This window comes from Homo sapiens, chromosome 1, assembly GCF_000001405.40.
Source record: "Homo sapiens chromosome 1, GRCh38.p14 Primary Assembly".
Lineage (NCBI taxonomy): Eukaryota > Metazoa > Chordata > Mammalia > Primates > Hominidae > Homo > Homo sapiens.
Genome location: NC_000001.11, coordinates 20,866,941 through 20,891,588, shown reverse-complemented (window position 1 = coordinate 20,891,588; position 24,648 = coordinate 20,866,941). Strand labels below are relative to the sequence as shown.

General features: G+C 38.6%; 1 protein-coding gene across 62 annotated transcripts in view; it reads left to right on the top strand.

Moving 5' to 3' along the window:
* The window catches only part of EIF4G3 (eukaryotic translation initiation factor 4 gamma 3), a 370,606-nt gene that overhangs the window by 285,309 nt on the left and 60,649 nt on the right, over positions 1-24,648 (top strand). For all 62 annotated transcript variants that reach the window (XM_047433321.1, XM_047433366.1, XM_047433324.1 and 59 more), the window contains 2 exons: positions 5,218-5,388; positions 12,069-12,266. In XM_047433321.1, coding sequence (XP_047289277.1) covers positions 5,218-5,388; positions 12,069-12,266 — 369 coding nt within the window. The remainder of the gene's footprint in view (positions 1-5,217; positions 5,389-12,068; positions 12,267-24,648) is intronic.

The window sequence follows — 24,648 nt, the reverse complement described above, 5'->3', positions numbered from 1 at the left end:
GTGTTAGCCAGGATGGTCTTGATCTCCTGACCTCGTGATCCACCCGCCTCGGCCTCCCAAAGTGCTGGGATGACAGGCGTGAGCCACTGTGCCCGGCCCATTTTATACCTTTTTTTTCAGTATTATTTCCCTTTTTAATGTTGAAATTTTTATTTGTGTTACTGTTCATTTTGGTTTTGGTTTATATCTTTGTTTTGCCAAATATTTGAAATAATGTTGATGCTATTTTGAATATTCTGTGGATAATAGCATCTGTGGTTATTATCATATTGCCCAATGTTGTTGATATGTGACTCACAAAATGTATAAATCCTCTTCCAGTGTCACTTTTCACTAACAGCTTGCTAGTCATTGTTTGCTAATAACTAGTTATAACAAAAAGGAAATATTGTGAGTTTAGAATAAGCAATGTCTCTTTTAAATTATTGAAAATAGAAAATGATTTTCAAAAGTAACTTTATCACAGCATATACCACTCCTCTGTATACCTACGTATGTGAGATCAGTGAGTTATTCTGGTACACTCAAAGTAATGTGACTAGAAGTGAGATGTTATCTAGAATTTGTAGTAGCTCCAAAAAGATCAACTTTAATTATTTAATTTACTTTTATTAAGCAGCTTTGTTCTGTGTCAGAAGCTAGTTTTTAAGAGAAATTTTGATGTCTCAGGGTAATGTTGATATGTTAAGCCTTAACACAAGTTATTCTTCCAGCCTATCTCCTAGATAACAGACATTCTCCACTTAATTTGCCCAGCTTACCTTGGTATATTGATGTAGATACAGATGGGAATGTCATAGGACATAAATATCAACATATAAAGGAACAAAAATGGCCAGGCACAGTGACTCATGCCTGTAATCCCAGCACTTTGGGAGGCCAAAGCGGGTGGATTGCTAGAGTCCCGGAGTTCAAGACCAGCCTGGGCAACATGGTAAAATCCTGTCCCTACAAAAAATACAAAAATTTGCCGGGCATGAGGGCACACACCTGTAGTGCCATCTACTTGAGAGACTGAGGTGGGAGGATTGCCTGAGCCTGGGAAACAGAGGTTGGAGACAGAGGCTGCAGTGAGCCAAGATTGTACCACTGCACTCCAGCCTGGGCAACAGAGTGAGGCTCTGTCTCAAAAAAACAGGACAGAAATAATGCTGTTTGGAAAAAAGCAACAGCCCTACTCTTTGCAGTTTCTGATTCCATACTTCAAATAACTTTTTCCAGTTCTCCAAATTATCTTATAATTAATTATCACTTAATGATATTAAAATCTATGAGGTATGCCCCATTATTATCTTAAGTAGCCATGACTTCTAATATAAACTTTTCTACAGCTCATGCCTGTAATCCCAGCACTTTGGGAGGCTGAGGTGGGCAGATTACATGAGGCCAGGAGTTCGAGACCAGCCTGGCCAACATGACAAAACCGTGTGTCTACTAAAAATGTGAAAATTAGCCAGGCGTGGTGGTACATGTCTGTAATCCCAGCTACTCAGAAGACTGAGGCACAAGAATCGCTTGAACCCGGGAGGCGGAGGCTGTAGTGAGCCAAGATCACGCCACTGCACTCCAGCCTGGGTGACAAAGCAAGACTCTGTCTAAAAAAAAAAACAAAAAACCAAAAACTTTGCTGTAACAGACTTGCTATAAAATATTTTTAATGTATGCCAATGATTTTAAAATGTCATATGCAGCTACGTAGTTTTCAAACCTAAGTGTCCTTCACTGGATAGTAAAGTGCATATCTGTTGGAAATTACCATGAAATATCATGTCTTTAGTTATTTTTAAAATAAAATTATGGGCCGGGCGTGGTGGTTCACGCCTGTAATTCCAGCACTTTGGGAGGCCGAGGCAGGTGGATCGCAAGGCCAGGAGATCAAGACCATCCTGGCTAACACGGTGAAACCCCGTCTCCACTAAAAATACAAAAAATTAGCCGGGTGTGGTGGCGGGCGCCTGTAGTCCCAGCTACTCGGGAGGCTGAGGCAGGAGAATGGTGTAAGCCCGGGAGCTTATAGTGAGCCGAGATCGTGCCACTGCACTCCATCCTGGGCGAAAGAGCAAGACTCCGTCTCAAAAAATAAAAAAAATAAATAAAATTACTTATCAGTTGTGTTAGTAGTCTTTTTGCGGACATCACAGAAAGCACTCCAAAAAATATATCTTAAGAGGAGCATTGGACCTATATAAGTAATTTGCCATTTATACTTATTTTAACTAACTTTTGAGATAAACTGATCAATCATAAAAATCCTAGCAGCAAAGAAGAATCCTAGGAGTAAAGTCTTTCTTTAAAGGAACACTTGGTTGTCTTCCTTCTTTAAAAATTTAGGTGTATATTGATTCTCTTTTCTTTGGTTATCCAAGTAGGCAGTGGAATTTAAGATTACAGTCTCTGAATAAGATAGGAATGATGTATATTAAATTGCAAAACGGAGATGGGTATAATTTCATAATACATTTTTGAAAACTGACAGTGGGTAAAAAATGCAAACTTTAACGTCACCTGAAAAAAGAAAATGGCTCACTAATCAACCCCAGACTTTGAGATTTTTAGTTTTGACATTGTGGACCTTGAGCACATTATACCTTAAAGTTCCTTAAAGTACTGTCTTTCAAAGAAAGAAACCAGGTGTCGTTTCTTTTTGTGTAGCCCATACCTCTTAGCACAGGATCCTAGATTTTTTGTGTGTTTAGTATATAAATCATTCATCATATGTTGCTACTTCTGAAGGATACCATAAATTTGATTATCTGTATTAAGATTTTCACACACAAAAAGGGACATGAAATGTTTAAATTTATGTATCAGTTTTTTAAAAGTTCCTTTTGATCCTTTGGTGTTGATGATAATATAGTTTTTAGGGTCCTTTTACATGGTTTATATCCTATAATCACAATAATGTTTTCAGGTAGGGCTGGCATTGTATATATGAGAAAACAACAAAACTAAGAGACTTGCCTATAGTAACTTTGCTCATATATAGCAGATTTGGACTCTAGATTCTGATTCTTTTGTCTCCTAAGTTCACTACACCACAGTTTTCCAGGCATTGCTATTCCAAACAGTGAATTCATTCTCAGAGTGTAAATATGGGCACATTAGAGATTGATTAATTGAACATATTAAGAATTTGTAAGTATAGTAGATCTATTAATAGCTAGATAAATATTTGAGAACAGTGTCTTTATCTTAGTTATAACCAGAGATACAATTATAATTTAAAATTTTTTCTTGGGTGCTTTCACGTGGGTTATAATTTTAACTATTTTATCCTGGACTAACAATTTATCAGTTAGCTTTTCAAAGTTTTTTTTCCTTTGAAGCATTATTGTTACTTTCTCACGTCTCTCTGTTGCTCATTTGAAACTCACACATATTTGTCTTGGGTCAGGTAAAGAGGTGTGGAATAAATCATATTGCCATTTTCCAGATTCAAATCTCAAGGCATATTTATTCATTGGTGTTTGCAGTAGGTTTTGGTAATGGGCATTTTCTGACTTTGTCTCCTAATGTGCATCTATGGCTCTTAATTGGTTTTGACATAATTTCCTTTCATTGCATCCAGAAACATTTGTTCTTGACAATGTTTATGTACAAATGCATGGATTAAATTAAATATCTTGTGATATAATTGTTTACCTGAGGTTTAGCCAACCATTTAGTAAGTTATTAATCCATATAAGTCAACACTAGAATATAACTTGAATTATAAAAATCAGGCATTACTTGATTACCACATTTTTCTATCAGAATTGTTTCTTCTGGGCTACTATATTAAAGTTTCAGTTACAATTTATGTTCTTATAGTAGTACTGTCTGGTTTAACAACTGTTCCCTGTTGGTATTTTTCCAATCTGATGATCTTTATTTCCTTTCAGTTATACCATGTGTCTCATACCTCTGGGTTTATCTGACCTGTTTGTTTTTTTTTTTTAATGTTTATCAAATAATCTGTGATATCATCAGTACTGTATCCTTAGCTGGATGCATTTGACAAGATTGGTGTGAAATTTTGCAGAAACCCTAACTTTTGATCCTGATGCATTCTTGATACTACCATTTCTAATTGGGGCAGATGGTGAAGCATAAAGGAATAATTCTGAGAATGATTGATGTGTAAAGGTGTTTGAGCTTATCAGCTTAGGCCCCAGACTGTGTTATCGCCTAGAAACTGTATTTTTATGTAATGAATGACATTAAAGTCTAGACTTTTTTCTCTGAAGCGTTAAATGAATTCAAAAGGGCAGCATTGGGGCCTTAAGTGAGAAATGATTCTCATCTATGTGTGCTTTGTATGAAGTTTTTATTCTCTCTTGAAATCTAATGGCTAGCCCTTCAGTGCAACTCAGAAAGAAAAAAAAAAAAATCTGGTGGCAGTATTTGCCCAGCACTAACAGAATGATATATCAGAAAAAGTAAAGGTTGTCAACATGCAGCAGGTCTGCTTGAAGGTAGCAGAGCTTAGTATCAACCCAAATATTTAACCTTGAAAAATTATTTCCAAGCATTTAAGATAGTAATTATGAATATTTTGATACACAAAATGCAACTTTTAACTTACTCTGTTATCTCTACTTAGTGTGCTGGCAGTATAACATGGCAACATACATTGGTTTTAACATAAGGGTATAGTGGGAATCCAGCAGGAACAGAGCAGACAAATAAAAGGAAGCCTTTTTTTTCAGGGAGTAATTTAGTTTGACTCTCATTGATGATATATAACGGGCTTATTTTAGTATTTCTGACCCAGCATAATGAGTGGAATCTTTTATGATCTACAGTAAGGCTTAGTGATGATATTAAATTTGCATTTTACCCTGGGATTGTAGAAACCCAGTTTTAGCAGATTTGTAACTATGATGATACCTACCTGTGAATTTTTGTAATTATTGAAGTGACCAGTCCACAGTTATTCAACTAATAAAAGATAAGCTTAAATTAGGACTAGTCTTTCTCATTAGAAGTAACGGCTTTGTCAAACATCTGGTTCAAAAAGGCCTCTTGTTCAAAAGTTGTAGTGGTGGAGAACATTACATTGATGGTATTCTGAAGTTATTTTTTTTACCCCCAAAAAAGATTACCTCCAGTTTGAGTACCTAGTACCCAATCTTTGCATCTAGCATTGCTTGGCGTAGTCATCAGACTTGACTTGAACAGCACAACAAAGCCAATAAATTGTAAGTACTCTGAATAGCTGTAATATTCTTGTCCTAGTTGTTGAATGTTGGGTCACGAAGATCTCAACCTGGCCAAAGAAGAGAACCCAGAAAGATCATCACAGTTTCTGTAAAAGAAGATGTACACCTGAAAAAGGCAGAAAATGCCTGGAAGCCAAGCCAAAAACGAGACAGCCAAGCCGATGATCCCGAAAACATTAAAACCCAGGTGAGAACAAAAGCATATCCTAACATTCTTTTGAAATTATATTGATTTTGTTTTAACTTATTTTGCTTTGCTAATGTTTCTAGAGATAATCAGTTTAAGACTTTTTATAACATTTTCCTATTAAAAGAATTATTCTAAAAGCCATTATGGATGCCAGGCAACCTACTGTTTTCTCTTGAAATTGCTTTATGTGTATTTTTTCAGAATAGTTACCAGGTCTAGAGGGTTCATGTGTCATAGACTTATGTAATTCAGGCTTAAGTTAATATTTGCTTTTCTTTAAAATACATTTTTAGATTCTCAGTGATTGAGTCTCTTTATCCTATTTATCCTAATTATTACATTGCTTTATGTTCCTTGTCAGGCCTTCATTGCCAATAAGCTAGAATTTAGAAACTCATCTTGTTTTGAAGCCTTTTGGAATAAAATTTAATTCTTTGAATCTTTTTATGCATATCCTGCCCTCAGAACTATGAGGATAAATTGAATGGATTTATTTTATTGACACAAAATTAATTTTTATGTATCAGATTATATAAAGCCTTTATTTATCTTTTGCTTTATACACAATGTCAATTCCTATCCCCAAGTTACCTCTGCGACTTGAGATGTTTTTGCTTCTAGGCACCAAAACTGGAGTCTCTTAAAATTCACACTTGTACCAGAGCCAGGCATCACAGATCACATACTAACTTTTCAGCATCTGGATTCCTTATATATCTTTTCTCTCACCATGAACAGTTAAGTGTAGCAGTTCAAAGTTCCAGCTCTGGAGGCAGAGTCCTGACTCTGTTAGGCAGGTTCTTAATCTCAACTATAAAATGAAGTTACAAACATTGAGTGCCTCATAGGGCCAGTGTTAAGATTAAATGAAATAAATATAAACCATTTGGCATGGTTCCTGGAGCGTGGTTAAGTGCTCAGTACGATGATGTCCCTGAGATCAGAGATGTGCCTTAGATATCTTTTTGATTCAGTACCATCACATAACCTCAGAGAGCAGGGGATCCCCAACCCCTAGTACCAGTCAGTGGCCTGTTGGGAACGGGGCCACACAGCAGGAGGTAAGTGGTGGCAAAAGAGCATTACCACCTGAGCTCCGCCTCCTGTCAGATCAGTGGCAGCCCCAGATTCTCATAGGAGTGGAACCCTATTGTGAACTGTACATGGAAGCGATCTAGGTTGCACGCTCCTTATGAGAATCTAACTAATACCTGATGATCTGAGGTGGAACAATTTTATCCTAAAAACCACTTTCCTCTTCCCCGCTCAACCCCACCCCCAACCCTGGTCTGTGGAAAAATTATCTTCCACAAAACCAGTTCCTAGTGCCAAAAGGTTGAGGACCACTGTTAGAGAGAGTAAATTCTCAGTAAATAATTGTTCAGTAAATAAGCGAACCCACAGAGTAGTTAATACAAAACAAAGATGAAGATGAGGCAATCCAACAACTAGCCATGCTGTCAAACTGTACTTGGCGGTTTGCTTTTGTTTATCTCTTTAGTGATTATCCCCAAACATTTGCCACAGGGTTCCTAAGGACATCCTTCATCACATTGCTGAGATAATTCTCTCCATTTCAACATATCTCAACCTTTTTTGGAAAAAAGAAAAAAAAGTCTTTTTTGTCCTTCTCTCCAATCTCCGTGAGAAATGCTTAATGATAATGGGCCTAAATGGCTTATAAAGATAGTTAAAACTTCCTACTGGATCTTCATCATTGACAGTGAAGATGTATTTAAGGCACTTGGATTAATGCTTTACTTTATTAAATTCTTACTGTACCTATAATGAGGAAATAGATGTTATCCTTTTTTTTCATGAGGAAACTGAAGCTTCAAAAGTTGTCAAGCGTCATGAAAGATACTAAATAGTCCAGTTGTTATAACTCGTAATCTGTTTCTGTTTATAACAGAGTCCTCTCCGTTATTGTCTTATTTCAGAAACAGAATAATTATCTTGATATGAGGCAGCATTAATTAATAGGTTTTCTTTAGTAAGTAGATAAAACAAATCTAATGGAGAATTTTTAAAATTCCTTTACAGAGCCAGTACAACCTTCTTTTTTCTTGACACTTTCTTTTAAATATGGACTTGCTTTGTTGCCTTCCCTTACGTTCCTACTACTATATTAAATCAGCATTGTGAACGACCACTGTTGATGACCTTATTCTCATCTTCTTGAAGCATTTTTAGGATATCATTGCCTCAGGACATGTCTGGGCTTCTACCCCTAGGATTCCCTGCATTCTCTTTCTTCTTTCTCCTCTATTACAACATTTCTACTGATGCTGCCTGAGTCATCTACCTGAAACACTGATTTTTGTCTTTCCATTCGAGCTTTTTAACCTAGCATTCAATATGTCATTTTCACTCACAGCCAGTGAAAACTAGTCTTCTGATATTTCCAGCTTGTTCTCTCAATTAGCAAGCTAGAAAATCCTCATTAACAATTCCTTCCTAAAGTGTTTTCTCCTTCATAAAATATCTACTTTATTTTTTTTCTTCCCTTTACCTAGCTCTTTCTGTCCTTTATTATCTGGCCCAATTCTCATTTCCTTCTTTTTTTTTTTCTTTTAAGATGGAGTCTCGCTCTCGCTCTGTCACCCAGCCTGGAGTGCAGTGGTGCGATCTTGGCTCACTGCAGCCTCCGCCTCCCAGGTTCAAGTGATTCTTCTGCCTCAACCTCCCAAGTAGTTGGTATTACAGGCGTGTCCACCATGCCTGGCTAACTTTTTATATTTTTAGTAGAGACCAGGTTTCACCGTGTAAGCCAGGATGGTCTCTATCTCCTGAACTCGTGATCTGCCCACCTCGGCCTCCCAAAGTGCGGGGATTACAGGCGTGAGCCACCACCCCCGGCCCTCATTTCCTTCTAAAGGCATTCCTCGACTAATCCAGTTCCTCTGACCTCATGTACCTAAACTATTCCCCTTTCTGGTCTCTAATCAACCCTAGTACTTGCTTTATCACTTCGTTTTTAAATGTATTGTCCCTGCAACTAGATTTTGATTCTGTAGAAGGCAATAACTGTGTTTCGTGCTTCATTTGTACCTAACACAGAATTTACTGGACATCAACTAGATATTTAGTTATAGCGAAATGTTTTTTTTTTTTTTGAGACAGGGTTTCACTCTGTCACCAAGGTTAAAGTTCAGTGGCTCTGTCACAGCTCACTGTAGCCTTGACCTGCTGGGCTCAAGCGATCCTCCCTCCTCAGCATCTCAAGTATCTGGGACTACAGGCATGTGCCACCATGCCTGGCTGATTTTTTTGTAGAGACCAGGTCTCATTCTGTTGCCCAGGCTGGTCTTGAACTCCTGGGCTCAAGCGGTCCTCCTGCTTTAGCCTCCCAATTGCTGGGATTCCAGGTATGAACTACCATGCCCAGGCTTTTTTTTTTTGAAAGAGGGTCTTAAATCTATTGCCCAGGCTGGAGTGCAGTGGCACAATGATGGCTCGCTGAAGCTTCAACCTCCTGGGCTCCCACCTCAGCCTTCCAAGTAGCTGGGACTATAGGCATGGACCACTATACCTGGCTAATTTGTTAATTTTTTTTTGTTTTTTTTTGTTTTTTTTTGAGATGGAGTCTCACTGTGTCGCCCTGGCTGGAGTACAGTGACGCGATCTCAGCTCACTGCAACCTCCGCCTCCTGGGTTCAAGCGATTCTCCTGCCTCAGCCTCCCGAGTAGTTGGGACTACAGGCATGCCCCACCATGCCCGGCTAATTTTTTGTATTTTTAGTAGAGACGGGGTTTCACCACATTGACCAGGCTACTCTGGAACTCCGGGCCTCAAGTGATCTGCCCTCCTTGGCCTCCCAAAGTGCTGGGATTACAGGCGTGAGCCACTGCTCCTGGGCCTAAAAATTTTTTAGAGGCAGTGTTGCCCAAACTCCTGGCCTCCTGCAGTCCTCCTGCCTTGGCCTCCCAAAGTGTTGGGATTACAGGCATGAGCTCCTGTAGCTTATCCAATAAATGATTTTGTGTGTGTGTGTGTGTGTGTGTGTGTGTGTGTGTGTGTAATTTTTCTTTTTTTGGAGACAGGGTCTCACTGTTACCCATGCTGGAGTGCAGAGGCATGATCTCAGCTCACTGAAGGCTTGACCTCCCAGGCTCAAGCGATCTTCCTGCCTCAGCCCCACAAGTAGCTAGGACTACAGGTGCTTACTACACACCCAGCTAATTTTTGTATTTTTTATAGTGATGGGGTTTCGCCATGTTGCTCAGGCTGGTCTCGAAACCCCTGAGCTCAAGCAATCTGCCCTCCTCTGCCTTCCAAAGAGCTGGGATTATAGGCATGAGCCACTGCACCCGGCCTCATTTCATTCTTTCAGCAGTGTCTTTCACAGAGCAGTTGTTTTTATTTTTATTTTATTTTATTTTATTTTATTTTCATTATTATTATTTTTTGAGACAGGGTCTCACTTTGTTGCCCAGGCTGGAGTGCAGTGGCACAATCACAGCTCACTGTAACCTCAGCCTCCCCTGGCTCAGGCAGTCCTCCCTCCTAAACCTCCCAAGTAGCTGGAACTACAGGTGCGTGCCACCGTGCTCAGCTGATTTTTGTATTTTTTGTAGGGACAGGGTTTTGCCATGTTGCCCAGGCTGGTCTTGAACTCCTGGGCTCAAACAGTGCACCCACCCCAGCCTCTTAAAGTGCTGGGATTATAGGCATGAGCCACCATACCTAGCCTGTTTTTAATTTTGATAATATTGAATTAGTCAACCTTTTCTTTCATGATTGTGCTTTTGCTGTCATATCTAAGAAATACTTGCGTAAACCCAAGAAAACAACACTTTTCTACTATGTTGTCTTTTAGAAGTTTATAGTTTTAGGTTTCACATTTAGCTTTGTGATCCAGTTTTTGTTGAGTTTTGTACAAGGTGCAAGATAATAGGTCAGGGTTCTTTTTCTCCCCTTTCTTGTGGATGTCCAGTTGTTCCAGCACCATTTGTTGAAAAGATTATCCTTTCTCCATTGAAATGTTTTGGCATCTTTGTTGAAAATCAGTTCATCGTATATGTGTGCATCTATTTCTAGACTCTACATTCTTCTTCATCTAGCTATGTGTCTGTCCTCTGGCCAACACCACTCTGTCTTTATATAGAAAGTTTTGAAATCTGGTTGTGTGAATTCAATTCTCCAACTTTTTGTTTTTCTTCAAAATTATTTAGGCTCTTCTAGGGTTTTGTATTTGTGTGTGTGTGTTCATATAAATTTTAGAATCAGCTCCTTGTTTTCTACCCAAAACAAAAAACAAAAGGCCCTATTAGGATTTGGATTATGATGATATATCTGCAGATCACTTTGGGGAAAACTGACATCTTAACAATAATGAATCTTCTAATACAAGAACATGATATATATCTTCATTTATTTAAGCCCTCTTTGATTTCCTTCATCAGTGATTTATAGTTTTCATATTTTTTTCCATCTTTTTTGTTTTGAGACAGAGTCTCACTCTGTTGCGCAAGCTGCAGTGCAGTGGTGCGATCTCAGCTCATTGCAACCGCTGCCTCCCAGGTTCAAGTGTTTCTTCTGCCTCAGCCTCCCGAGTAGCTGGGATTACAGGCATGCACCACCACACCCAGCTAATTTTTCTATTTTTAGTACAGATGGGGTTTTGCCATGTCGGCCAGGCTGGTCTCGAACCTCTGGCCTCAAGTGATCCACCCAACCTCGGTCTCCCAAGTTGAGATTAAAGGTGTGAGCCACCACGCCTGACCTTTTGCTAGTTTTTGGCTAAATATTTTGTAGATTTTGGTGCTGCTGTAAATGGTACTTAAAAAAATTAATTTCTGGTTATTTATTGCTAATACATAGAAAAGCAGTTGATGTTTGCATTTTGACATTGTATCCTACAATTGCTAGACTGACTTATTCTGGTCTTTTTGCAGATTCCTTATGATTGTCTATGTAGACAATTATATCTTCTCTGCATAGAGTTTTATTTCTTCCTTTACAATCTACGTACCTTTTATTGCTTTTTCTTTGCTTTATTTCATTGATTAGGACCTCTGGTATGATACTGAATGGGAATGGTGAAAAGAAACATTTTTTGCATTATTCTCAATCTTAGGGGCAAAAATCATTTTGCCTTTCACCTTTAAGTGGAGTTGTATATCTCCTTTTACTAGTCTAGGAAGATCTCTTCTATTCCTGTTTTTTTTTTTTAGAGTTTTTACAACATTATTTTAAAAGACTCCTGCCTAGTGTTTCATACCATTATTTATATTATACCATAATTTAGACAAATTTCTATTTTTTTACATCAAAGTTATTTTCTGTAATGAGTTATGTGGCTAAAGTATTTTTACGTATCTCTAAATATAAATACATTTCTAAAAGTGTAATTACTGGTTCAAAGGTTACATACACAGTTTTAAAGCTTTTGATACACGTTGTCAAATTGCCCTTAGAAATGTTAACAGATAATGCTCCCACCAGCTAAGTGTGTATATACCTATTTCTAGAATTCTCCTCAGTAGTGAAAAGAAGGTAATTTTTGACTATTTGTTAAAATAGATTAGTTTAATTATTTCTGTCACTAGTTCACAGTCCTTGTTAATAATTTGAGAAGTTGAACTTATATATTATTTTTAAAATTAATCATTACAGAAAGCACCATATTGTCACAGTTACTCTAATGCTTTTTTCTTTTTTGTGGCCCTTCTAGGAGCTTTTTAGAAAAGTTCGAAGTATCTTAAATAAATTGACACCACAGATGTTCAATCAACTGATGAAGCAAGTGTCAGGACTTACTGTTGACACAGAGGAGCGGCTGAAAGGAGTTATTGACCTGGTCTTTGAGAAGGCTATTGATGAACCCAGTTTCTCTGTGGCTTACGCAAACATGTGTCGATGTCTAGTAACGGTAAGAAGAGAGGAAGGAGTAAAACGAGAAATCTTCAAGAGGTATATTCTCCCCTCACTACACATTCTTCCCAGAAGTGTTATTGGGGCAACATAAAGGGGAGAATATATTTTTAGTATTTATTGATATAATATTCTCATTATTAAAGACAATCTTGCTTTATTAAAACGTATACTCCCCTCTGGAGGGGATATGAAGTCTGGACTGAAATGGGCATGAGATGGGCCCATTCAGCGTAAGAAAGATAGAGTCAGGTTTAAATTAGTAATGTAAAATTATCGTCATGGGCAACAAATTTTTCCCGTGTGTCTCTTATGGAAAGCAAGCAAATGCGTGCTTTCACATTTAATTAAGTTTGAAATTTAAAAACACGTTGATTCTAATTCTAATCTCTGTGAAAATGAAAGGATAGTTGTTCTGTAGTCAAAAAGGTTTCAAAGCTGATAATTTCATGTCATAGAAACTGTTAGGTTTCTCTCCGTTTACATTATCTGAAGCCATTTAATCTCCACAGCCTGTCAAACCTAGGGCAAGACAGAGAGGGAGACCAAAGAGCTTCTGGTTAGTGTTCATTGTCCTCTATTCCACAGTCATAAACTGCCATGTATCATCTGTTTTCTCTTCCTGTTATTGTTACCGAGGTACTTGTGTCAGAAATGTCTGTCCTTTAACATTTGGATTTTTTCTTAATTATTACAACTCATTGTCGTGCCTTGCTGCTTAGAAACAAGCTATGAAAATGCAAAATTCTCTCATTCTACCAATATTTTTGACTACCTATGTCAAAGGTAGGTAAGTCTTTTGGGGTTTGGAAAAGTCACATCTTCTGTCTTAAAGGAATTCAAAATCCATTTGAAAATAAGTATTTCCAAGAAAAAAATTACTTAAAAGGTATTTTGTGATGTAGCAGTATCTCAATGCCTGAATGGATGGTTAGACCGAAAAATAAGTTGGAAGAAAAAGAAAACACTATGTTGGTGGGAGAGTCACAAAACTTTTATAAAGCAAATAGAGTTTGAGTTGGACCTGACACAATGGGGAATACACATTTGGAGAAGAAAGAACACATTCTAAGCAGGCTCAAGTCTGAAGCAGTAAGTGTGGCTTTGGAGTCACAGCTCTAGGTTTAAAATTTAAAGTTTAAAATTAAATTCCAGGCTGGGCAAGGTGGCTTATGCCTGTAATCTCAGCACTTTGGGAGGCTGAGGTGGGCAGATCACCTGAGATCAGGAGTTTGAGACCAGCCTGGGCAACATGGGGAAACTTCGTCTCTACTAAAAATACAAAAATTAGCTGGGTGTGGTAACAAAAATTAGCCAGGCATGGTAGCGTGCGCCTGTAATCCCAGCTACTTGAGAGGCTGAGGCAGGAGAATCACTTGAACTCAGGAGGCTGAGGTTGCAGTGAGCAGAGATTGCACCACAACACTCCAGCCTGGGCGACAAGAGTGAGACTCTGTCTCAAAATAAAATAAAATTGAGATAAGAGAAGATAGTTTCTACTCTGCCACTTCCTAACTTTATGACCTTAGAATAGTTACTGATCTCTTTAAGCCCCTGTTTTTAATCCATAAAATGAGATTAATTCATACCACTTGTAATATTATAAGGATAAAATTAATTAAAATAAATGAGATTACAAAATTTCTAGCCCAGTGTTTGGCCTGTAGTAAGCCCTAAATAAATTGAAACTATGTTAGACCTTTTAGGTCCAATTTGTGAAGGTTTTGAATGTTGGCTATAGAATGAGGATGATTATTATAATAAAAATAGTCTATTCAGCACCTACTAAGTTGCAATATGGATAGAGGCTTTATATATACATATTATTTTTAATGGTTATTCTAATCCTGAATGGTCAGTGTTACTAGCCCCACTTTATTGAACCAAAAGCTGAGCTTGAAAAGGAAAAATAACTTCTCAGGGTGATGTAACTAGTAAGTGGCATTGCTAGAATTCAAATCAGGGATTATTTAACTCAATCACTTGCCATAGTGCCTCCTGATGTGCCATAGTTATATGGAAGCAAACTAATTCTCCATTTCTGGGCTCTCATTTTCATTGTGGTAGCCATGACATCCATGACTCATTAAAATTAGGACTAGATCCCAGATCCTCTGGATCACACTTTAATGCTCTTTCCCAGTTTTGAATTTTATCAGATAGGCAGTTAAGTGGTGTTTAGGTAGTTTAATGGAGGAGTGATATTGATGAAAATGGCCTTTGAAATGATCTGGCAATAAGTACAAATTGGATTGGAATATGAAGAAATTATAGACAAGCCACCCACTTATGAGACTTTTGAAAACTTTATTGGATTGTTTTATTTATGTATTTTGCTTGAGACAAGGTCTTTTGCTCTGTTGCCCAGGCTGGAGTCCAGTAGCATGATCATAGCTCACTGAGGCTTCAAACTCCTGGGCTCAAGCAGTCCTCCTCCTTGACTATAGGCACACACCACCACCAGGCCTGGCTATTTTTTTATTTTTGGTAGAGATGAGGTCTTACTATTTGCCCAGATTGGTCTCAAAAACTCCTAGGCTCAAGTGCTCTTCCCGCCTTGGCCTCCCAAAGTGCAGGGATTACAGGCAGGAGCCACCTCCTGGCCTCCTGGATTATTTTAAATTATAAGATAACAACCTATTTGAACAAGTCAAATGGTATAGTTAATACAGTTATTACTCTCTGCTTGCAGCCCCAGCCAGTTAATCTTCCTTCCCTATCAGATGGTCACTGTGAATGGTTTTGATGTAATCATCTATAGTTTTCTTCATGTTTATAAAATCACATGAAAATATGAGTATGTATAAAGAGGTTTTTTTGGTTTTGCTTTAATTGAATTATATAAATTATTTTCAGTTTGTTTTTTTTTTTTTTTTTACTTAATAAATGTTTTGGGCAGCCGTCTAGGTCATTACAGATAGATTTTACTCATACTTTTATACTAATTGCATAATATTTCATAATATGCATATACCATAACTTGTTCAACCATCTCTCTTCTCTCTCTATCTCTCTCTCTCATATGTTCATTTATCCTTGTATTCTGGAGCCTGCCTCCCTCCCTCCTTGTCTTTTTTTTTTTTTTTTTTTTTTTTTTTGAGACAGGCTCTCACTCTATATCCCAGGCTGGAGTACAGTGGTGTGATCACAGCTCACTGCAGCTTCAAACTCCTGGGTCCAAGCAATCCTCTCATCTCTGCCTCCCAAGTAGCTGGGACTACAGGCACATGCTCAGCTAATTTTTGTATTTTTTTGTACATGTAGGGTTTTGGGGTTTCGCCATGTTGTCCAGGCTGATCTGGAACTCCTGAGCTCAAGTGATCTGCTTGCCTCAGCCTTCCAAAGTGTTGGCACCATAGACGTGAGCCACCATGCCTGGCCTCTTTCTTCTTTTCCTTCCCCTTCCCTTTCCTTTTTGTCTTGCTCTGTCACCCAGGCTAGAGTGCAGTGGCAGGATCTGGGCTTACTGCACCCTCAACCTTCTGAGGTCACATGATCCTCCCACCTCAGCTTCCTGAGTAGCTGGGACCATAAACATGCACCACCATGTCCAGTTAATCTTTAAATTTTTTATAGAGACAGAATCTCAATATGTTGCCCAGACTGGTCGTAAACTCCTGGGCTCAAGCAATCTTCCTGCCTCCTTCCCAGAGTGCTGGGATTATAGGCGTTAGCCATTGCACCTGACTTTTATTTCTTTAGTGTATGTTTTTAATGTTTTAAACTTTTTTATTGAAATATGACTAACATATGTGCTTTCTGGGTTGAAATTCTTCATTTGTTGCATTTGCCAAATTTAATGATGTAAATGCTGTCCTCAGGACTATTTGTAATCTACTGACAGTTTGACAAGACTCACAAAATTACTGTTAAACAGTTGTCTGTCATAAACCAATATGAACCAGCTTCAACACACCAATGCAACATGCTTACAGAAAGGTATACAAATCATTACTGTACAGCTCATTGTATGTCAGTGAAGTGAATACACCTTAGACCCTTTTCAATACTCTTTAGTCTTTTTTAAAGGTAACTAGGACCAGGTGCAGTGGCTCATGCCTACAGTGTCAACACTTTGGAAAGCTGAGGCAGGAGGATCGCTTGAGCCTAGGAGTTTGAGGCCAGACTGGGCAACATAATGAGACTCTGACTCTACAAATAAAAAATTAAAAAATGAGCCAGGCATGATAGTAGTCCACCTGTAGTCCCAGCTACTAGGGAGGCTCAGGTGGGAGGATCCCTTGAGTCCAGGAGGTCACGGCTGCAGTGGACCATGATAATACTATGGTACTTACTCCAGCCTGGTGACAGAGTGAGACCTAGTCTCAGGGAAAGCAAAAAAGGTAACCACTGTCCTGACTTCTGACACTGTAGTTGATTACTTTTGAGGGATTGAGAGACTGAAATAAAATGGTAACAGTGAACATAGAAACATAGAATCCTACTACACACATCAAACATTATGGGATTATTAAATATCTAAATTTGAAAAGCTAACCTTTTATAAGAATATCAAGGAGGCTATTTTCATGAACTTTTGAGTAGGGAAAGATTTCTTTAGCAAAATTCAAAACATGAAGGATAAAGGTATAAGATTTGACTGTTAAAATTTATAATCTTTGATGCAGCAAAAGATACTATAAATAAATACAAAGATAAAACCACAACCTAGGAGTATCTGTTTGGAGTGCATTAACTGACAGAATATTAGAATCCAGGATTAAGGAAGAAAAAGAAGCAAATCAGTAGGAAAAAAACAGCCTAATAAAAATATGGGCAGTTCATAGAAATGAAAATCCACTGGGTGATAAACTTTAGAAAAGATAATCAATGACAGCACTTCTCAAAATAAGACATTTACGCGGCCAACAAATATATGAAAAAAAGTTCAACATCACTGATCATCGGAGAAATGCAAATCAAAACCACAATGAGATACCATCTCATGCCAGTCAGAATGGCGATTATTAAAAAGGAAACAATAGATGCTAGCAAGGCTGTGGAGAAACAGAATGCTTTTACACTGTTGGTGGGAACGTAAGTTGGTTCAACAGTATGACGATTCCTCAAGGATCTAGAACCAGAAGTACCATTTGACCCAACAATCCCATTACTAGGTGTATAATCAAAAGAATATAAATCATTCTACTATAAAGACACATGCACACGTGTGTTTATTGCAGCACTATTTACAATAGCAAAGACATGAAACCAACCCAAATGCCCATCAATGATAGACTGGATAAAGAAAATGTGGTACATATACACCATGGAATACTATGCAGCCATAAAAAGAAATGAGATCATGTCCTTTTCAGGGACGTGGATGAAGCTGGAAGCCATCATCCTCAGCAAAATAACACTGGAACAGAAAACTAAGCACTGCATGTTCTCACTCATAAGTGGTAGTTTCACATTGAGAACACATGGACACAGAGAGGGGAACAACACACACCAGGGCTTTTTGGGGGATGGGGGTTGAGGGGAGGGAACTTAAAGGACAGGTCAGTAGGTATAGCAAACCACCATGGCACATGTATACCTATGTAACAAACCTGCACATCCTGCACCTGTATCTCGTGGTTTTTTTTTTTTTTTAAGGAAAAAAAAAAGACATTCAATGTTATTCATTATTAGGGAAGTGATAAACTAAGAAAAGATAAACCATAGTTCTGTAAAATTCACCCCCACTAGATTGAAAAAAAAATCCCATTTTAAATGTTTTTAAAGACGAATATAACCATTTATGAGGGCAATTGGGCAATAATGTTGAAGATGTTCATGTACTATGCAATAACATCAAATTGCTAAATGTACCAGATATTTACAAACGTGAAACAACAAGAACTCTCGCATACTGATTGCAACAGCCACTTTGGAAATTGTTTAGCATTATATACTAAAGCTGAAGTTTTTCTGCCATAACTAGCATTTCAATTCTTAGGTATATACACAACCAATAAACATACATATCTCATATGCTAGGAAATATATACAAAAATGTTGTAGCATTTTTTATACAGGAAAGAAAAATGAAAAAATGCCTGTTGATAGTAGAATGGATAAATCGTAGCATGTTTATACAAGGACAGTGAATCTGAAGTACAACTACATGGGCATGGATTCTCACAAGAGTAAGTTTGAGTAAAAGAGGGCAGACCCAAAAAGATACTACATGATTTGTTATTTAATGTTCAAAAATGAAACAAAAACTAACTTTGGTGTTTGGGGATACCTGTCTATAGTGTTAAAGGTTGCATGTTTTCTTTGTGAAACAAAAGCAAGGCTGGGCGCAGTGGCTCACAGCTGTAATTCCAGCACTTTGGGAGGCCAGGGCAGGCGGATTACCTGAGGTCAGGAGTTCAAGGCCAGCCTGGCCAACATGGTGAAACCCCATCTCTACTAAAAATACAAAAATTAGCTGGGCATGGTGGCGCATGCCTGTAATCCCAGCTACTTGGGAGGCTGAGGCAGGAGAATTGCTTGAGGCAGGAGAATTGCTTGAGGCAGGGAGGTTGAGGTTGCAGTGAGCTGAGATCATGCCACTGCACTCCAGCCTGGCCGACAGAGTGAGGCTCTGTCTCAAAAAAAAAAAAAAAAAAAAAAAGGCAAGAAAGTTATAAAAGTCTAGGAGGCTTTTGTATAACTTTGGAGACAAGGGGTTGTGGATGTGCTTTGGAAGGAAATTTAAGTGGAGCTTCTGAGAAGCTTTCAGTGTTCTGTATCTTGACCTGGTTACCATACCTGGTGGTATTTATGGAGTTTGCTTTTTCATAATTTATTGCTGAACCTTAAAAAATTTTTGAAACAAAAACAAGCAATAGAGTGAAAAGCTTAAAAACCACTATAGGCTTTTAAGTTTTACTGTAATATTTAGTTTCTTAAAAACTGAAAAAGTGGCCAGCTGTGGTGGCTCATGCCAATAATCCCAGTTGGGGAGGTCAAGATGGAAGGATCACTTGAGCCTAGGAGTTGGAGACCAGTCTGGGCAACATAGTGAGACCCTGTCTCAAAAAAAAAAAAAGTGTGAAAAAGCTGGGTGTGGTGGCATGCACCTGTACTCCCAGCTACTCCAAAGGCTGAGGCAAGAGGATCACTTGAGCCCAGGAGTTCAAGGATGCAGTGAGCTATGATGGCACTGTTGCATTCTAGCCTGGGTGACAGAGCAAGACCCCGTCTCTAATATATGTGTATACACACACACACACAGATTTTTTTTTTAAGCAAAAGATCTAAAACAAATATGGCAAAATGGTAAGATTTGACACATTTGGACAATGGATACCTGAGTGTGTGCTATGTTATTTTGTACTGTTGGAAAAGAAATGAATTAGCTGGGCATGGTGGCGCATGCCTATCACGCCAGCTACTTGGGAGGCTGAGGCACGAGAATCACTTGAACCCAGGAGGTGGAGGTTGCAGTAAGCCAAGATTGCACCACTGCACTCCAGTCTGGGTGACAGAGCGAGACCCTGTCTCAAAAAAAAAAGACAGAGAAAAGAAAAGAAATGGAGTCTACCCAATTGCTTTTTCAAGATGACATGTCCACGGGCCAGTGTTGCCCAAAAGTGAAATGCCCAAAATTGAGCTGTTAGTATGTGTTTCAGCAATGCTGGCATAAGCAGATTTGTTTCCTTCAAGCCCCTGTTTACTATGCTAATGTTTCCTGTGAAGTCAGACAGGAAAGATCTACTGTATACAACATTTTCCAAACCTCTAGACCACAGGCATTTAAAAGAATTCCCTTAAGGTAATTATTAGCTTGAAAAATAATACCTCCCAACAGAATCAAAGAAACTGAAGACAGTGAATAAAAAATTGAACTAGTATCTGGGAGTCTGATCTCAACCAGGGACATTCCCTCCCACCCCCACTTCAGGACATTTGGCAGTGTCTGGAGGCCTTCTTGGTTATTGGTATGGCATCTTAGTGGGTATGGGGTGAGGATGCTGCTGAGCTTTCTATAGTGCACAGGAGAGCCCTCCACAAGAAATAATTATCCTACCCCAAATGTCAGTAGTGTTGAGGTTTAAAAACCCAGCCTAGATTGTTGAGATTGTAAGATTTAGGAGAATATGTGTTCTCATTGTTTAGAGCAGTTGTTAAGCCATTTTTCTCTTTCCATGTCATTCACATTGATTGCACACCTCCATTTAAAACCTCTTTTGTAACTTTGCAGTGATTAGGTGAATCCTAGAGTATAAAATTATTTTGTTTGTTAATTTTTTCTTGAAGTCTTAAAGGGTAGGCCTTTAAGAAAGATTCTTTTAGATTTATAGAGGAAATTGATATAATGGATTCAGCTTTCCCTCGTTGCTCTGTAGTACTGTATACACACACATACAGATACATATGTACATATCCATCCATATATGCAGCTGCCTGTGTCCACCAAGCTCTACTAAGGCATACCATACAAGGCTTGAGGGAATCATAAGACATGGTCAACTCCACCTCTGGAGTATTTTGCTGCTTCTGCTAGTTCAACTGGAAATGACTGAAGAGGCCTGTGAGACTCCCTTCATGAATAATAAAGCATTTAACTAGAATTCAGCATTTCTTTTTGGAGGAGGACATCTGAATTAAGTGGCAGGTGAGGAAGAGTGGACAAGAGAAATGTTGTCCTGTATCTAAATCTGTACTTAAGTACAATTTTAAATTGGATTATTGAAACTTTAAATTGCTGTGCTTTTGTCTTAATTATAATTGAAATGAGAATCCTCATCTCAGAACCCCTCTAGAATATAAACTCCAAGGAAAGGGACTTTTTCTGTTTTGTTCACTGCTGAATTCCCAGTGCTTAGAATGATTCTTGGCAGGTAATAGTTGTGAGTGAGTAGGTAAATGCCTGAATGAAAGAATAACCAACTTGAATGAGTTTCTTTTATGCCCTGAGACTGTAGTTTTGTTACTTTTTGTCTGTGCTGTGGGAGACATACATACCTCAGCTACAAAGAATGGCACTAAAGGCAGATTTTTAAGCATTCTGTATACTGTTATGCCAGATACAGAGCTTGTAGTATTGCCACTTTAAGTGTTTAAAAGCAAAGCATGAGGAGAATGACAGGACTGAGAATAGGAAGAGACACCGAGAGAAAAAGAGAGGCAGTTAAATCCCATAAAAAATAAAGCCCGGAATTGCAGACATGACAAGTCAGCCTTGGGCAACAGCGAGTGACCGGTCAACTGGAGGAGGAGGGATTTGTAACTGTCCTGATGGAAGATTTTATAATGTGTTGAAGAAAAAATGATCAGAGATGACTTATACTTTCATAACTGACCACTCCCTTTTGAATCTTGTGCATATCCTTTAACACTATACCTCTTCAGGTATATCTAACAGAGATCCATTTTGATAGATGTGTTCATAGTATGCAGAGTATTATGTACAGTTTTGGCAGGTTAAATTGCCTAAGGTCACGATATAACCACTGATAGAAAATAGTATGTCACCATGGACCTGAGAGTTATGTTGGTTTATTAAACAATTTTTTTTTAATTACCATATTGCTGTTTACTTCACTTTTTTTTTTTTTTTTTTTTTTTGAGACGTAGTCTTGCTCTTTCACCCAGGCTAGAGTGCAGTGGCACAATCTCGGCTCACTGCAAGCTTCGCCTCCCGGGTTCAAGCCATTCTCCTGCCTCAGCCTCCCGAATAGCTGGGACTACAGGCGCCCGCCACCACGCCCAGCTAATTTTTTGTATTTTTAGTAGAGACTGGGTTTCACCATGTTAGCCAAGATGGTCTCAATCTCCTGACCTCGTGATCCACCCGCCTCAGCTTCCCAAAGTGCTGGGATTACAGGCGTGAGCCACTGCACCCGGCCTATTTACTTCACATTTAAGAGCAAACTGTCCTTGGCCAGGAGTAGTGACACATGCCTATAATCCCAGCTACTCAGGAGACAGGTACTCAGGAGACAGATGGGAGGATCACTTGAGCCCCGAAGTTTGAGACTAGCCTTGGCAACATAGGGAGACACTGTCTCCAAAAAAAAAAAAAAAAAAAAAAAATTTTAAAGTAAACTATCCTCTAGAAACCAGAGTTTTAGAGTTAGCACAGAGGTGCCATTTGCTTACATTATCCTATTCATTACAAATACTTTACTTCAGACTAGCACATGATTTGGGGGCAAAACTACTGCTGGGCCATGGGTTGCCATTAACATCTTTATGTTCTGAGACAGCATTGAAAATCCTGAACATGCCAAGCCAAGGCCAGGACTTACCATTCCATTTTCATTTCTGTTTGATTACCATAATTACTACACTGCTGACAACCCTTGATGATTCTCTAGAATTTGATCCTTTTGGGGATAAGCATGTCCACCCTCAATACTAACAAATATGTCAGCAGTATAGGCCCTGTTGCTTGAAGAAAATTACTACCTGATGCTGACAACATTCATATCTAAGATTGCTGAGTGACCTGTATGTGGATGGGTCTCTTTACACTAATGCCACATTGTTAGTTTACTACTGTGTAAAAATAAAAAGCTAGGTGCTTTCTAGTGAATTCAGCTTATCAAGCAGCCTTCCTAAAACATTCTCACCGACTCCCTTGCTCCCTGAGAAAAAGAAACCCGTCCCGAACAACCCATTTAAACACACACATTTTAGTGCTGATCATGGACTGTTAAGTGAAAATTGCAGTTGTCTAAATAGATCCTTTTCCCACTGTCACATACCTTTCATTCTTGCTATTATCCATGATCATATTTGCATGCATCTGCCTTGTCCACTGTTGTGTCTCTGAAAAATCATAGTTTGAAGCCCTGACTCTTACTATAATTACATTAGGAGGTGGGTGGGGGGCAGTAACTAGGTTTAGTTGAGGTCATGAGGGTGGAGCCCACACAATGGGATTAGTGCCCTTGGAAGAGGAAACACCTGAGCTGTTTCTCTCCCTGTCATGTAAGGATACAGTGAGAAGTCAGCCATTTACGAGCCAGGAAGAGGGTCCTCACCAAGAACTTAATCTGCCAGTACATTGATTTTGGACTTCGCAGCTTTCAGTACTATGAGAAATAAACTTCCATTGTTTAAGCCACCCAGTCTATGGTATTTTGTTATAGCAGCCCAAGCAGATTAAGGTATCCACTCTTCATGTTCTGTTCCAACTAACCAATCTCAGTGGGTCTCTTGACCACCCAGTGTCCAGCAGACAACAAGTGCTCACTTACAGCCCTGTCAAATTTACCATCCCCTAAGGACAAAAAAAAAAAAAAAAGAAAATCACCATGAATCACTATTCTCAGAGGATATGTTCTCACTGGCCCCTTTCCATATTTCCACAGCCCTGTTAACCATCCCCAGAGGGTATTAAGATCATATTCCAAAACAAGTCTTCAAGGAGCTGTATAGCTAGGTATTCATTCATTCAGAGATACATTTTTGTAAATCTGTAGTCATTCTGCTAGTTATTCAGTTTTAATACTTCCATGTGAATATATCTGAAAAGTTTATGCATGATTACATGTTCTTTATGCCCCAATTCATGTGAAATTCCTCTTGACCATTATTTTGGGATAGCAGACTTTTGTTTCTCTTGCATTTTGTGATTTTCTCTTTATTGCTTAGTGAGCTAACTTTGCTTTATCCTTTCTTTGATAGCTATGTTATTACAATATACGTTACTCTTAATGTTTAATCATAGGCCTGTCAAATGAAGTGTTTAATATAGCCATACTAGTTGTTTATTGGGCCCTTACTGTGTGTCAGCCACTATTTGCTTTTCCTTAGATACCTCATTTGATCCTCCCAATAACACCTCCTAAGAGATAGGTATAATACCTCACCCCATTTTTGAAATAGAGGTTTGGGGAAACTGAGTGACTTGGCCAAAGTCACATGGCAGAGCTGGGATTGTGACTATGTCCAGAGCTCCCTTTTCACCAGCTATTTTATCATGTTCCTTAATCTACAGTCATTTTGGAATATCTCATTCTGCAGGTGTAGGGGCTGAGGTTCAGTGAGGTAACTTGCTCAAATTTACATAGTAGATTAAAGAGCTGGGATTCAGTTTCTGATTTTGTGACTCATATTCCAGCACTCTTTCGATTTCAGTTACAGCTTATTTATCTGTGGCTTATTAAAGTGCTTCCATGCTGAATGCTCAAGCTGCCCTCTCAGATGGACATAGAGGCTGTACCTCCCTTGTTTTAGATGACAAAACTGAAACTTGGATTAAAAGAATTGCCTTTGTTTATATAGCAAGTAAGCAAAACTTTTGATACTTAACCCAGCTCTTCTAAAATAGTCTTCCCTGCACTTCTCACCATATGGCAGTGGCTTAGATTTTCATATTGTTTGTTGTCCTCATTTCTCTCTTTTCTACACAGTAAATCTGTAATGTAGGAAACTTCTCTTTAGAGATGATA